General features: G+C 42.9%; 1 protein-coding gene across 1 annotated transcript in view, besides 10 other annotated features; it reads right to left on the bottom strand.

The window, feature by feature from the left end:
- Positions 1 to 6,960, bottom strand: part of LAMC1 (laminin subunit gamma 1) — a 122,173-nt gene extending 115,213 nt beyond the window's left edge. The window contains exon 1 of the mRNA NM_002293.4: positions 6,246 to 6,960. Coding sequence (NP_002284.3) covers positions 6,246 to 6,663 — 418 coding nt within the window. The 5' untranslated portion in view covers positions 6,664 to 6,960. The remainder of the gene's footprint in view (positions 1 to 6,245) is intronic.
- Positions 6,044 to 6,597: an enhancer, noted in NCBI's record as "H3K27ac hESC enhancer chr1:182992918-182993471 (GRCh37/hg19 assembly coordinates)". NCBI's record gives its function as "activates a minimal SCP1, AML or CMV promoter by ChIP-STARR-seq in naive H9 embryonic stem cells {active_cell/tissue: H9 hESC(naive)}" and the evidence as "EXISTENCE:reporter gene assay evidence [ECO:0000049][PMID:30033119]".
- Positions 6,044 to 6,691: a biological region, named in NCBI's record as "H3K27ac hESC enhancer GRCh37_chr1:182992918-182993471".
- Positions 6,552 to 6,691: a silencer, noted in NCBI's record as "silent region_1626". NCBI's record gives its function as "represses an Ori minimal core promoter by ATAC-STARR-seq in GM12878 lymphoblastoid cells {active_cell/tissue: GM12878}" and the evidence as "EXISTENCE:reporter gene assay evidence [ECO:0000049][PMID:35858748]".
- Positions 6,712 to 6,781: a silencer, noted in NCBI's record as "silent region_1625". NCBI's record gives its function as "represses an Ori minimal core promoter by ATAC-STARR-seq in GM12878 lymphoblastoid cells {active_cell/tissue: GM12878}" and the evidence as "EXISTENCE:reporter gene assay evidence [ECO:0000049][PMID:35858748]".
- Positions 6,832 to 7,221: a silencer, noted in NCBI's record as "silent region_1624". NCBI's record gives its function as "represses an Ori minimal core promoter by ATAC-STARR-seq in GM12878 lymphoblastoid cells {active_cell/tissue: GM12878}" and the evidence as "EXISTENCE:reporter gene assay evidence [ECO:0000049][PMID:35858748]".
- Positions 6,832 to 7,707: a biological region, named in NCBI's record as "H3K27ac hESC enhancer GRCh37_chr1:182991808-182992362".
- Positions 7,153 to 7,707: an enhancer, noted in NCBI's record as "H3K27ac hESC enhancer chr1:182991808-182992362 (GRCh37/hg19 assembly coordinates)". NCBI's record gives its function as "activates a minimal SCP1, AML or CMV promoter by ChIP-STARR-seq in naive H9 embryonic stem cells {active_cell/tissue: H9 hESC(naive)}" and the evidence as "EXISTENCE:reporter gene assay evidence [ECO:0000049][PMID:30033119]".
- Positions 7,252 to 7,641: a silencer, noted in NCBI's record as "silent region_1623". NCBI's record gives its function as "represses an Ori minimal core promoter by ATAC-STARR-seq in GM12878 lymphoblastoid cells {active_cell/tissue: GM12878}" and the evidence as "EXISTENCE:reporter gene assay evidence [ECO:0000049][PMID:35858748]".
- Positions 7,708 to 8,263: an enhancer, noted in NCBI's record as "H3K27ac hESC enhancer chr1:182991252-182991807 (GRCh37/hg19 assembly coordinates)". NCBI's record gives its function as "activates a minimal SCP1, AML or CMV promoter by ChIP-STARR-seq in naive H9 embryonic stem cells {active_cell/tissue: H9 hESC(naive)}" and the evidence as "EXISTENCE:reporter gene assay evidence [ECO:0000049][PMID:30033119]".
- Positions 9,001 to 9,500: an enhancer, noted in NCBI's record as "H3K4me1 hESC enhancer chr1:182990015-182990514 (GRCh37/hg19 assembly coordinates)". NCBI's record gives its function as "activates a minimal SCP1, AML or CMV promoter by ChIP-STARR-seq in naive H9 embryonic stem cells {active_cell/tissue: H9 hESC(naive)}" and the evidence as "EXISTENCE:reporter gene assay evidence [ECO:0000049][PMID:30033119]".

Below are 14,236 nucleotides of genomic sequence, written 5' to 3'. Positions count from 1 at the left end.
CCCAAACAGTCAGTGAAGTGAATCCTCTCTGTGCTTGCATCTCTCACTTAGGACTTACTATATAACATGAAAGTACTGCTCTAGAACAGAGGTCAACAAACCTGTGCTATGAGAGCCAGATAGTAAATACTTCAGCCTTTGTGGGCTGGGACATATGGAGTCTGTCGCTATTACTCAACTCTGCCCTTATTGTGCAAAAACAGCCACAGACAATGCTTTGTTACATGGGCTAAACTGTGCTCCAACAAAACTTTATGGGTAACTAAAATTTGAATTTCATGAAATTTTCACATGTCACAAAATATTATTCTTCTGATTTTTTCTAACCAATTAAAAATGTACAAACCATTCTTAGTTCACAGCCCATACAAAAATAGGCAGGACTGGACTGGACTTGGCTAAGAAGGCCATCATTTGCCTACCCCCAAATCGAGAGACATGGGTCTCTGCATCTACACCTCATCTAAGAATGAGGTCAGGGCAATGTCCCATGAATCACTACACATCCAGGAATTTGCATTGTTGCTAATACATAACAAGCAATTAACCAATATTAGTCATCTTTAACTGAACTAAAAGATTACTAAACCCCTGACTCGTCCTTCAAAAACTTCATGGTTTAAAGGTAGAAACAGACAAGTAAAGAAACAGATAATCCTATGTGATAGGGACTGTGATAAATACCTACAGGGTGGCGTCAGTGGGAGACTTAATCCAAGCCAGGGAGTGGGGCAGAAAGGGGAGAGAGAGAGAAACTGGGGAAGGAGTCCTAACACCTGGGAGAAGTGTTCCAAACCAAAGAACAGCCCTGTGAACACGTGAAGCAACAAAAAGGTCCAGATCCTAAGTACCCTGTACACCACGCCAAGGAGTTTGGACTTTATCATAAAACCTTGAGGAACCACTGCAGAATTTTTAGCTGCAAAATTGTATGATCAGATTTGCATTTTAGAATCATCACTCAGTCCAAAGGATGGCTGCCCAAATATAAAGGGCAAAACTGGAGGCAGAAAGCCCACCAGTTTATTTGGAGGCTGTGGCAACAATCCAGGTGAAATGCAATGGGAACTTACAGTAAGGAACTTACAGTAAGGCAGAGACAAAGAGGACGGAGAGAAAGATAAGCATTCAAGACACATAGTGTCTGGATATAGAAGGTAAGAGTAGAGTCTTGGACAGATTATAGTAACGATTGGTGGGAAAGAAACGGGTGAAGTTATAGCTACCCAGAACCGACCGACCACACAGCAGTGGATCCTATCTGTTCACCAGAGTAGTCTTTACTCATGAAGCCTGTCAAGCATGGTTCTTTCAGGAGAGACGTGGGCAACATCGGTTGAGAAACTCAGTGTTAGACAGCAGTGTAGTTCACTGAGATAGGGAATACCAAAAGAGCTTTGAGTTGGGTGAGACAACAAGGAGTGAATTTAGTTTTGAATATGGTCTCTGGACATCCCAAATTGACCATAACCAACAAGATTTTAGATCTGGAAAAAGAGCTGACTAGAAATACAACTTTAGAATTTACAAATTTACAAATGAAATTGCAAATAAAGCCTTGAGACAAACACGAGTTCATCCACGAAGCGTGAACAGCATGAAAAGAGAGGAATCTAGGAACATAAATAAAAAGAAGTATGCAGAAGAAAAAACAAGGAAAACCAAAGGAGTCTGGTATCTCTGAACCAGGGTATACATGAAATTTTAAAAGTGGCTTAGAATAAAGTAGACTTTCTTTCGAGAGACTCGTTAGAGAAGCTGCAAGCTGCAAGAACGAATGCAATCAACTAGGTAGTCAAAGACCTATCTCCCACATGACTTTAGGCAAATCACAACCTTAGGCATCTTTGCCTTCCTTGCGTTGTGAGAAATCTCATCAGTGATAAACTGGAGGCCTTATAAACTGTAAAATATTATATAGACACCCTTGATTTATTATTGTAATGCCATTATGAGTGTGTAAATTCCTAACAAAGTATAATCTTCTGAAGATAGGACCCTCAATCTTCTACATCTTTCTATCAGGTACAGTGGTATGTATTTCAAGAGTATTTTTTAAAATGTTTGCAGAATATCCGGCAATAACATGAGAATGTATGCACAGGAGGAAGGAGTGCATAGCAAAAGGCACACCCAATTTTCTAAAATTATTTAGAACTGAAATAGTCAAAACTTGATTCCTCCCACAAATGTGACCAATGACAAATGGAAGAGGTGGGGGGGGGGAGGAATGCCTTATAGCTCCAACTTCTCCCCTAATGTGTAAATTCTTTTTTGAATGCCCTTAGAATGGAGAAGGAATTTGGAGAAAAAGCAGTGAACTGTAGAACAGGAAAGCAGCCAACAGCAACTTTATAAAACTGTGTTCAACAACTGCTGGCCATTAAGGAAGAGCTCCTTAACTTCTCAAGTTGAAACCTGCAAAATGTAAATCAGGCCTTTGTGAGACAAACTAAAATAGTGTCCCCTCAGGGTGCACAAATACCACAGTGAAGTCACCACAGTGAGCTATTCCCTGACATAGTCAGAACCCACCTTGCAAAGGTTTTCCTGGGGGGAAAAATTGCCATTTGTTCCATGTTAAATACATACACACTCAGCAGAGGACCAAAGAGAATAAAAGGCAATAGCCTTATATATCAATTATTCTAACTTAAACACACAAAAAAGATATGCAGATGCAGATTTAAAAGCTTCATTTAATCACTATTGGTTCCTACAGTTTATGAGGAGCTTGGAAACTAATCTGGTTTCAGTGTTAATTTTAGGAGTTTCATAAACTTTGATTGGGTTGGTTTTATAAGCACTCTTTTCCTTAATCTAATTGTTTTTAGAAAGAGGAAAAGCTACCTTTCTCAAGATTAGGATCCTGTCTGCCAAGTTTCCATCCACAATGATTATCAAATTAATTAATGGGGCTGTTTGATAAAAGGCAAATCCTTAGCTACAATCTTAGTATCAACTACTACCCCACTGGTACTGATAAAAACTTACTATAACTTATAAGACATAAAACCCAAACTTTTTAACAGCAACTGAATAATCCATCCAGAAGTTGAAGGTGAAACAAAAAAGACTTCTTCTTAGAAAAGTGGCTGGTGGAGATTTCTCCCCACAACAAGCAGAAAGTGCAATTCTGGTTCCCATAGCAACTTTAACTCTTTTTATCCGAGGATGCACTGCACCCTGCACCCTGGATGACTGTGTATGGTGCTTAAGAGAGCGCTGTTTTCAGAATCAACACTGATTTTCCTGGCTTTTGTACAGCAAGTGATGATACAGGCACAATAATCAGATTTGTATTTGCCATCTGTTAAAATACGCCTCAGCCTCCCAAAAAGTATCAGTTAAAATGATCCTATAATTTTATATACACATGTGTATGCATGAAAAATTTCTAGAGGGTCATATTAATGTAAGAAATTGTGAAGGGTGGTCTCTAGGGCATGGAGCTTAGCAGCTAGTGATAAAGAAACTCACTTGTCATTACACTTACTGTTTGAATTTACAATGTCATGTTTCATTTTCATAATTTAAAAAAGTCAGTGCCAAAACACTTACATAACTACTTACATTTCTTATGTATGATTTGACTGCTTATTTTAAAGTTTACTGTATTTAAAGTTCAACATCAAAAGAAAGGCTAGAAAAGTGGTGGCTAGACCTAGTTCTTTCACACTACTCATTTCTAGCTTCACATGCTCTGTAATAGCAAAGCACAATATGCATCACTTGTTTAAGGGTATGTGAAATTTGAACTGGGAGGGAGATTTAATAGATGCACAAAACAGTCACGGTACTTTAATTCATGGGAAATAATTAGTTAGCTACAGCCCATGGAGTAACTGGAGTTGGGGAGTGAATATGCTAAACATCAAAACACACAGTGACACATGACACCTTGCCTACTTGTCATAAATTGTTGATCGAAACATACATGTATACATATAACCTTGTCATTAAAGGGGGGGGGAGGACAGAAAGAGAAACCTCAACCTCACTACACACAAACCTTTCCCCCTTCCCACCTCCTCCACTATGCATGATTTCTTCCAGGATGTCATTTCTGATCCAAGAACAAGTCAAGTATCCTAGTCAAGTTAGTTTAAACTAGAAGTTTAAAGTACATATTTTTACAGTTAATCACAATGCTTGTAAGAAAATACTTTAACTTTTAACTTACAAGTTTTAAACTCATAGTTTTATGAATTTCATTTAGCAAGAATATTACCAAAAGTTGAGGAAAATTTCAGCAAAACCAAGTCCAAGCATAAAACATTTCATAGTAAAAAGTGATGTTAGAGGTAAACTCTAAGATCTCTTTTGACCTTTTAATCAACCATGACCCAAAGTTAACATATCTGCCTCCCAGTGGGAGCAATCTAACGTAACTGATACTGGGTTACTCTACCGCATTATCTTTGCAACAGGGTAGTAATCACTGAGTAATCTATCTACCTCTGAAATCACCTTAAATAACCTTTAGCTACACAGTGCCTACAAGAGAAAATTCTGAGAGCCAAGATTGACAACCCCACCTTTATGTAAATAAGAGACTGTTGTTCAGTAATTGTCAATTGAATTTCAGGCATCTGAGATTTCAGACATCAGGCAACGCCTTTTCTTTGAAAATTTTAAAATCTGAAAATGAAAAAAATAAGACTTCAAGAGTATTCAAACTTGAACACAGAAACTTTAACAAGTCAAAAGTTAAACAGAAATACTTAGATACACATTTCAAAAATAATTTTGGCCAACTTAAAAAATATAACAGGAGAAAATAAAGAGCAATCTCACAGATCTTAGGAAATCCTCGGTCACTAGCTATGTCTTCAGAAAGGCACCTTTAAAAAACTGAACTCAGTGCACTTTACTTCTTCAATCCCTGAAAAACAGATACCTCATAGTATCATTTTATGAAATTATTTTCAAAATGTTTCATTTGTTTAATGACTCAACTGCAAATAAGATGTTAAATAATTCTGCTTTTCTAACACTTATTCCACACACAATAATTTAATCCCACTTTTCAAAGTACTTTTTGTTAAGTCCAATTCTTTCTCTGGAATCCTGATACTTACATAAAGTTTAGTGTACCGGAGAGCAGCAAAATCATGATCAAAAGAACCATTTGCCTACAACATGTTCCTTTCCAACACCCCTAAGTGATATTAGCCTTACAAAATTACCCTCCCTTGACAGAAGAATGGCTTGAGGCAGTCTGTTCTCTCTGGAAGTTCATTAGTACCAGCTACTGGTAATAATCAAGCCTTCCAAGGCAATGGGGAGTGAAGTGTTAAGTCAAACGTGTTTCTCACACATAGATTCCTCTGTTAAACACAATAATGAAACTTTCTGCCTATTTACGTATCTCAATGATGAAGAAAACCTTAGCTAGACCGAACATTATTTTTGGTGCTTCCAGATACATATGTCCATCCTCAATCCACTGCCCTGCCATGAAGTTTTCTACACATCCCTTTCCTGATTTCTGAAACATCACTTACACGTGTTTCTACAGTTGCTTTGAATGAAAGCAAAAGGGAAGACAGTAAAGGAGAGCCTTTTTACCCAGGGACAAGGCTATGCCCAGCAATTACAGTGAGTGCACTTCCTTTTGTTCATTCTGCACCAGGATTAGCAGTCAAATCGCTTTGTGGTTCTTAATTAAGGCTGAGCAGCTATAAAGAACAATAACTTCAAAAGTGAATTTATGTTTTAATTACACATAGGCAATATAGGCAGCGAAGGCATTTGCTCCCCTCAAATTCCCCCTTAACTCAACAGAGCAATCACCCTCAGCCCTGGAAGGACATCTAAACATTTTAAAGGCGAAAGTGTTTAAGGCGGACCTTCTTGTTTCCGATCCAAGAATGCGCTGTGATGACCTTGCTAGCAAAGAGAAAAGTGGGGATGGGAGTTTCTGATTAACGCTTCAGAAAAAAAAGGGGGAAATCACAATCCTAACAGCCGAAATGCAGAATAATCAGAGAGCCAGAATCCCGTTAAGTCAGAAAGAACAGGAAAGCAGAGAGACTCGTGCGGAACATCCTGGCCCTCACGGGATGTTAAAAGCAGTATCTATTTAAGAAGTTGGAGAAAGGAGTTTCTGTGTGGCCCATGCCGGGGAACAGAGAGCAAACACGCGGCCGTCTGCGCCCGTGAGGCCGGCCACTGGGACGGAGCCGGTCCGGGAGCTGGGCTGCTGGCGAGCAGTAGCAGGGGACGGGGCTGTCACCGCTTACCCAGGTGCAGCGTGAGGTTGATGGAGCTGGGGTACTGCACCCCGGCCAGCATGGTCTGGCTTTGCCACCAGGTGGTGTCGGCCTGGTTGTTGTAGTCGGTCAGGAAGGCTGCCCCGTGCTGCAGGTGGGGCTGCCCGGCGTCGCACAGGTGACAGGACTTGGTGACCCCGGTCACCCCGGTCTGCACACAGTATTCCTCGGGCGGAGTCCCACACGTGTTGGTGGCCACCACAGTCACGTTGAAGGCGGCGTTGACGAACTCGGGCATGCAGCGCTGCGGCCGCCCGCCCTCGTCCGTGCACTCGTCCATGGCTGCCTGGGCACAGCCCGCCGCGGCGGCCGCCGCCAGCACGGCCAGCACGGGCCAGAGCCGCCCCCGGGGCCGCAGGGCCGGCGCGGCCCGATGGCTCCCTCTCATCCCGCCGCCCGCACGCTGGGTCACGGCGAAGGCAAGGGCACCGGCGCGTTCCTCTCGCCTAGCGGCGTCCCCCGGAGGCCGCTTCGCTGCTTGAGCCTGGGGGCCCAGGGGCCTGACTCCGGCGCGGGCGGTGGCGGCGGCTCGCGCCGGAGAGACTGACGGGTGGGCGCCCCTAGCGAGGACCGCGCTGCTCGCCGACCACTGCCCCCGCGCGCCGCCTCCGCGCTTCCCTCACCTACCCCGGGAGCAGCCTGCACTCCGCGCCGACCCCCGACTTCCGAGCGCGTGCCCGAGTGCGCGCCCCCGGGGAGGAAGGAGCAGGGGGTGGGGTCGGCAGGGTGGGGTGGGGTCTGGGCGAGGAGAAAGCCCAACCCTGTCTCCTCTCAGCAACTCCCGCGGCCCCTGGGGCAACTCCCCGGCCCACCGCGCCCCATGGACTGCGCGTCCGCCCCGGCGACTCCAGGAGGCGGCGGGGGCGGGAGCAGCGGCGTCTCGCGCTCGGGCCCGCGGCGCGCGACCCGGGGGGAGGGGCGCGCGAGGTGGGCGGGGAGCCGGGGGAGGGGGTTGGGGGAGGGGAGGGGAGAGGAGGGGAGAGGAGGGGAGGGGAGAGGAGAGGAGGGGAGGGGAGGGCGGCTGGGTGGTGCATGCCGGGAGGGAAGGGCGGCCTCGCAGACCCGCTCCCCGCGCGGGAGTCGCTGGGGTCCTTGGGCTCCGCGGCCTGGGAGACTCCGGATTGCGGGAGGAGTCGGGGGAGGGCGCCTTAGAGGGGCGATGCCGGGTCAGGAGGTCGCTCGGGGTCGTCCCTGGGGCCTCGCGCCAATTTGGGCTGCGGCAAGAGGGTCCCCGCCCGGCCAGGTGTGGGTCCGAACCGGGAGCGCCCGCTGCTGCCCGGGGCCCCGCTCCAGCCCCTCCCGAACAGAGGTCCCGGGGCGTTCATGGGGCCGACACGGTCCCTGGAGAATCAGAAGGGCCTGGTCGCAGCAGCCAGATGAGTTTCGTGAAGCGATTTCCTGCCGCTGATTTAAAGTGTAACCAGTCGTTTTACCGGGGCAAGGAAGGAAGTGAAAAGGCTGGGAATGGAATGAATTTTTCCCTTGGGTACGCACGACCCACTGCGAAATTCTTCCACTGTGTTGTTTGTGTTCCTCGGCTTGCCTTTAAAAGACTCGAAATTATGTGGATTCTGACATCCTCCTTTTCGGGCCTGCTGAGTCACGGAATATTCTCAGTGCCAGAATGACTCAGTTCACAGAACCTGAGCCAGAAGATCATGAGTTTTAGTCCCGGAGCAGAACCTGGGCGCTTACCCAGTGCTGGATACGGCAAGCAGAGACCAGGGCAGGGAGGCAGCAGCTTGAAACCCTTGGCGTCCCCAAGCAGAGAGGATGCACATAGTGAATGACACGGATTTGTTTTGTTCTAGCTTTTCAGGAATTTAATGATAAAGTGCGGATAATAAGTACACCGCAAAAACAAAACAAAAAAACACATGCATAATTTCGGACCCAGTTGTCCCATTAAGATAGGCGTAATGGGAATCTGAAACAAGGAAATAAGTATATGTTAGGTGACTCTGGATAGTTAGGGTTAGTTAGACGCAGACTGCTGATTAGGAAAACCTTAAGGATAATGTTCTGGTAGGATGAAGAAGGGAGGGGAATCTAGGGTCTTGTTACACGGCTGAGCTTACTTAGCAAGTTATGTTCATCACTGTTCCGTTTATTTGATGAGATGGGTGGAGATTATGCATGGCTAAAGGTGCCTCATTCTTGGCACCTTCTCTTTGGGAGAATTAAGTTGTGGGGACTAATAATTTTTTAATCCTTTCATACATGAGTTGAAGCGAAATAAATACGTTCATTTACACCTAGAGGGGATTATATGCTCTCTCAGTCCTTCGTTGTACTTGAGGACAAACGTGGGCATATAGGACAAAAATAAGGATGTTAGTTGTGAATAAAGCTACAGATTTGTAATAAACTTGTTTATATTTTAATAAACATATTAGTGAATTTGCATTATTATACATTTTTAGTACTTTGTTATATAGTGGCCAAAGCGTGGGTCTCTATTTCCAACAATCAAAATAAAGACAAGGAGACCCCCAAAGGCTGTGAAATCAACATAAATGGGTTTGTCATTGCTGCCTTTTGAGTCCTAATGTCCAAGACTAACATCAAGATATTACTTATGCGAATTTTCCGTAACTTAATTACCAGAGCTTATCTGATATTTGTAAAGCACATAAAGAGACCTTGAATTAATCTCTCAATTCTCTTGCTTATGGAAATGTGTCACAGTGACAAACATCTATTTTGAAAAGAGGTAAAGTGTAACCAGCCAGTGGGCTTGATGATAAAAATTTTGCTCCGTTATTTGGATCTTGATTCAAACAAATCAACGGTTAAAACAAAATTTTTAAGACAATTTGAGAAATTTGAACACTAACCAGATGTTTGATGTTATCGACAAATTATTTTAGCCACCTAGAGATGCCACAGTCTACTAGACAGTATTTAAAGAAAAAAAGTGAAAGTGTGTAAGAATTTCTTTTACTGCAGGTTACCCTGTTTTTCAAAAAACTCCAGTCTTTTGAATGCACGTTCTTAAGTGCTTAGACATTTCATTATCAGCCGGGCGCGGTGGCTCACGCCTGTAATTCCAGCACTTTGGGAAGCCGAGGCAGGGGATTACTTGAGGCCAGGAGTTCGAGACCAGCCTAACCAATATGGTGAAACCCTGACACTACTAAAATTACAAAAATTAGCCGGGCCGGCTGGGGTCGTTGGCTCACGCCTGTAATCCCAGCACTTTGGAAGGCCGAGGCGGGTGGATTACTTGAAGTAAAGAGTTCTAGACCAGCCTAGCCAACATGGTGAAACCCCAACTCTACTAAAAAAATAAAAAAATTAGCTAGGCGTGGTGGCGCGTGCCTGTAATCCCAGCTACTTGGGCAGCTGAGGCAGGAGAATCCTTGAACCAGGGAGGCGGAGGTTGCAGTGAGCCAAGATCGCGCCACTGCACTCTAGCCTGGGCGACAGAGCAAGACTCTGTCTCAAAGGAAAAAAATCATCCCGGCGTTGTGTCCATGCCTGTAATCCCAGCTACTCGGGAGGCTGAGGCAGGAGAATTGCCTGAACCCAGGAGGCAGAGGTTGCAATGAGCGAGATTGCGCCACTGTACTCCATCCAGCCTGGGCGACAGAGTGAGAACCTGTCTCAAAAAAAAAAAGAAAAGAAAGAAAGAAAGAGAGAGGAATTCTATTATCTGAAAGACAGAGAGAAAAAGGAGGGATGGAGGGGGGAGGGGGAGGGGGAGGGGAGTTTCATTATCTACCAGACATGGTACTTAGAAGAAAAATGTGAACGGATGGGGAAAACTTTATTCAGGTCCCTCAAAAGATGATCTTAGTGCCCAATCATCAGTGTCTCTATGCAGCAACAAAGGCAGGATGAGGAAATGTAATTGTTTATTGTTTATTGTATGGGCAAGAGAGCTCCAATTAAAGAAAAAAAATGTGAAACTCCAGAGAAAAGAGATTTCTCCCTTCATAATCTATATAAATAATTTCAAGGAAGGATGTTGATTGGCTTGGCTTTGGTCACCTGGCATACCCCCAAAGCTAGGTAAATAGAATACCATGTGTGTGGTGTTTGGCAGCCCAACAGAAAACCATGGAATGTGGGAAAAGCAATTGAAAGGAAAGCTTGCTGTTACCAGAAGAGGGCAGGTTATAAGGCAGAAAAAACAACGGATGTCTACTACAGCAGGATTTAGAATGTGTGATATAATTAGAAAAATAATTTAAAAGTTTGCATTGACCTTTCCATTGCAACTTTGTCATTTTTTATATTTTTATAATTACCAATGCGTTTATTTTTCCAGTCCTTATTCTTTCTGACCTCATTTCCTTGTATTCTTCCCAAGCCTAAGCATCACTATACTATATGCTTTATCTTTTTATATTTAGAAATGCAACCTAAACATAATAATTATTAATAATGATTGACAATGTTAGCCTATATTTACATTCTATGTTACACTTTTCAAAATTACACTGAAGCAAAGAATGTTATCACCTATGCAGAGCTGAAGAAATTAAGGCTCAAAGAGATTAAGTAACCTCTGTAGACAAGTAGGAGGAAAGTCAGGCCAGGAACCTGCTCTTTCTGGCTCCCTGACCAATGCTGTTTCCTTTTCTGTTATGTCAACGTCATGATAGGAAAGAGGATAAGGGAAGAGCATTCTCACATTTCCAGGGTTTTTAGGTTATCAAATAAGAATTTAAAATTAGGTAAAAATTAATGTGATACTGGAAGAGAATGACAATATCCCTCTTCAAAGTTACAATGACTACACATGATGCTTTGTGTTAGGTTTATAGATCCTGCCTAGGTCCTTGGTACAAATCCAAGCAAAACAAGATAAGGTATCTTTCGTGGCGAGCTCAGGTAAAGACAGGATTCCTCTTGTATGAGGTAAAACCCTTCCTTCCCACCCAGCCCCATGCACCCAATTCTTTTTTTTTTTAACAGAATTGCCAAAACTCCTTTGTTTTGAAAAAAGATTTACTTTTCTAATAATAATCATACATATTTATGGAGTACATAATGATGTTTTGATACGTACAGTGTATATTCATCAAATGAGGGTGATTTGCATGTATGTCACCTCAAACATCTATCTTTTTTTTTAAGTCACCCACCCTGGAGTGCAGTGGCGCAAACACGGCTCACTGCAGCCTCCAACTCCAGGGCTCAAGCAATCCTCCCTCCTCAGCCTCCCGAGTAGCTGGGACCGCAGGCATGGGCCACCATGCCCAACCAATTTTTTTTTAATTTTAGTAAAGATGTGGTCTTACCTTGTTGCCCAGGCTGGTCTTGAACTTCTGGGCTCAAGCGATCCTCCTGCCTTGGCCTCCCAAAGGGCTGGGATTATGGGTGTGAGCCATAGTGCCCAGTCATCATTTCTTTGTGTTAAGAACATTCAATAGCCTCTCCTCTAGCTATTTAAAAATATATAATAAATTATTTTTAACTACAGTCAGCCTATAGTGCTATATGGAACACTAGAATTTATTTCTCCTAACTAGCTGTAATTTTATATATTTTAACCAATCTGCATCTATCCCCCATCCCAACTACCTTTCCCAGCCTCTAGTAACCACTATTCTGCTCTCTACTTCTACAAGATTAACTTTTTTAGCTTCCACATATGAGTGAGAACATGTGGTATTTGTCTTTCTGTTCCTGGCTTATTTCACTTAACATAATGTCCTCTAGGCTCATCCATGTTGCTATGAATGACAGAATTTCATTCTTTTTAATGATTGAATAGTATTCCATTGTGTGTGACTGTCTGTGTATACCACATTTTCTTTATTCATTCATCTGTTGATGGACAGGTAGGTAGATTCCATATCTTAGCTGTTGTGAGTAATGTTGCAGTAAACTTAGGGAACAGATGTATCTTTGGTGTACTGATTTCCTTTCTTTGAATATATATCCAGTAGTGGGATTGCCAGATCATATGATAGTTCTATTTGTAGTTCTCTGAAGAACTTCAATACTGTTCTCCATAATGACTGTACTTGTTTACATTCCTACCAGCAGTGTATAAGGGTTCCCCTGTTTTTACCCATGCATCCAATGCAAACTATCTTTATATCATGATACTAGTTTTAAAAGAGAGACAAAAGGACACATCCATAATTCATAATATTTAAACCAGAATTTTATTTATAACAATATACAAGTACAATAAAAAAGGAAGTATTTCCAAAAATGAGTAGCAAAGACCAACCTCACCCCTACCCAAAATTTTCCCATGAAGAAAAGAGAGAACTTCAAATCTCAAAAATCTTATTATTCCACTAACCAAATGCGAACTGTATCCCACTATAAAGAATAGAGATAAATAATCTTTTATATGTAGATAACATGTTTTTGTCATGGGAACTCAGAATTTCCTTAATAAGTTGTTGACCCTGACAGGATCAACTGATTACTCTTAGAAAGAAAGGGTAATTTTTTTTTTTTTTTTTGAGATGGAGTCTCACTGTGTCACCCAGGCTGGAGTGCAGTGGCGCGATCTTGGCTCACTGCAATCTCTGCTGCCCAGGTTCAAGCAGTTCTCCTGCCTCAGCCTCCTGAATAGCTGGGCACCTGCCACCGTGCCCAGCTAATTTTTGTAGTTTTTAGTAGAGTCGGGGTTTCACCATCTTGGCCAGGCTGATCTTAAACACCTGACCTCGTGATCCACCCCCTTCAGCTTCCCAAAGTGCTGGGACTACAGGCGTGAGCCACCGCGCCCGACCAAGTAATTCTTTTAAAACCAAAACTATTATTATTGGTAGTTTCCCCCAGAATTTAATTGCCTTATATTAAATAGTTTATTACCTCATTCCACTACGTTGGTATATATTGCAACAGATTTTTTTGGAGGGTGTACCTGGAAGTTATATTGTTCAAAATTAGAAGTTCACAGCTCTTTGAGTAAGATTCTTTTTTGGGCTGTGGTGGAATGTTATAACACCAGCTTTAAAAAAAAATTCCAGCTGAAATTATTATGGTCCTGGCACAGAACTTAACAGCCTCCATCTCTAGTTTATGTCTGTATTTGAGCAAATGTTAATTACTTTTTCTTCCCACCCAAATTGTGTTTATTGTAACAACCAAATTAAAGCAAGATTTTAAAACATTTCCCCCATAATTCTATGCACTAAAATGGCTTTTTCATTTATCAGAACTCTCTCCTAGTTCATATCATTCATTTGTTGTAATAGACATCTTTTATTGAAATTCAGCGTAGATATGGAAAAATACACAAGATCCAAGGGTATAGTTTGAAAGTCGGATGAGGGAATCACAAAGCGCATGCATCTGTGATCACTACCCAGGTCTAGAAATGAAATATTACCCTAACCCCAAAGCCCTGTCCATTGTACATTGCGTGGGAATGGCTTCTTTTGGTCAATATTAGGTTTTGACGTCAATTGATGTATGTGCAAAAATTCCTTATTTTTCTTTGTTGTATGCTATAATATTGTATAAATACACTACAAATTATTTATTCATTTTACTGTTGTTGGACATTTCAGTAGTTTCTAGTTTGAAACTATTCTGAAGAATGTTACTATGTTATTATCAACATTCTTACTTGTCTTTTGCAGACACGTTTTTTACACACACACATTTTTGGTGGGTATATACCTAGGAGTGGAATTGTTGGGTCATAGGGGTAGGCATATATTCAAATTTGGTAGACACTACCAAACTGTTTTCCAAATTAATTGTACCAATATTCGCTCCAATCAGCTGCATACAACAGTTGCTGTTTCGGCCGGGCGCGGTGGCTCACACCTGTAATCCCAGCACTTTGGGAGGCCAAGACGGGCAGATCAGGAGGTCAGGAGATCGAGACCATCTTGGCTAACATGGTGGAACCCCGTCTCTACTAAAAATACAAAAAATTAGCAGGGCGCGGTAGCGGGCGCCTGTAGTCCCAGCTGCTTGGGAGGCTGAGGCAGGAGAATGGCGTGAACCCGGGAGGCGGAGCTTGCAGTGAGCCGAGA

Source organism: Homo sapiens, chromosome 1 (assembly GCF_000001405.40).
Source record: "Homo sapiens chromosome 1, GRCh38.p14 Primary Assembly".
In the NCBI taxonomy this organism is placed as follows: domain Eukaryota; kingdom Metazoa; phylum Chordata; class Mammalia; order Primates; family Hominidae; genus Homo; species Homo sapiens.
The sequence above is the reverse complement of the archived record's forward strand: the minus strand, read 5'-3'. Positions and strand labels throughout refer to the sequence as shown.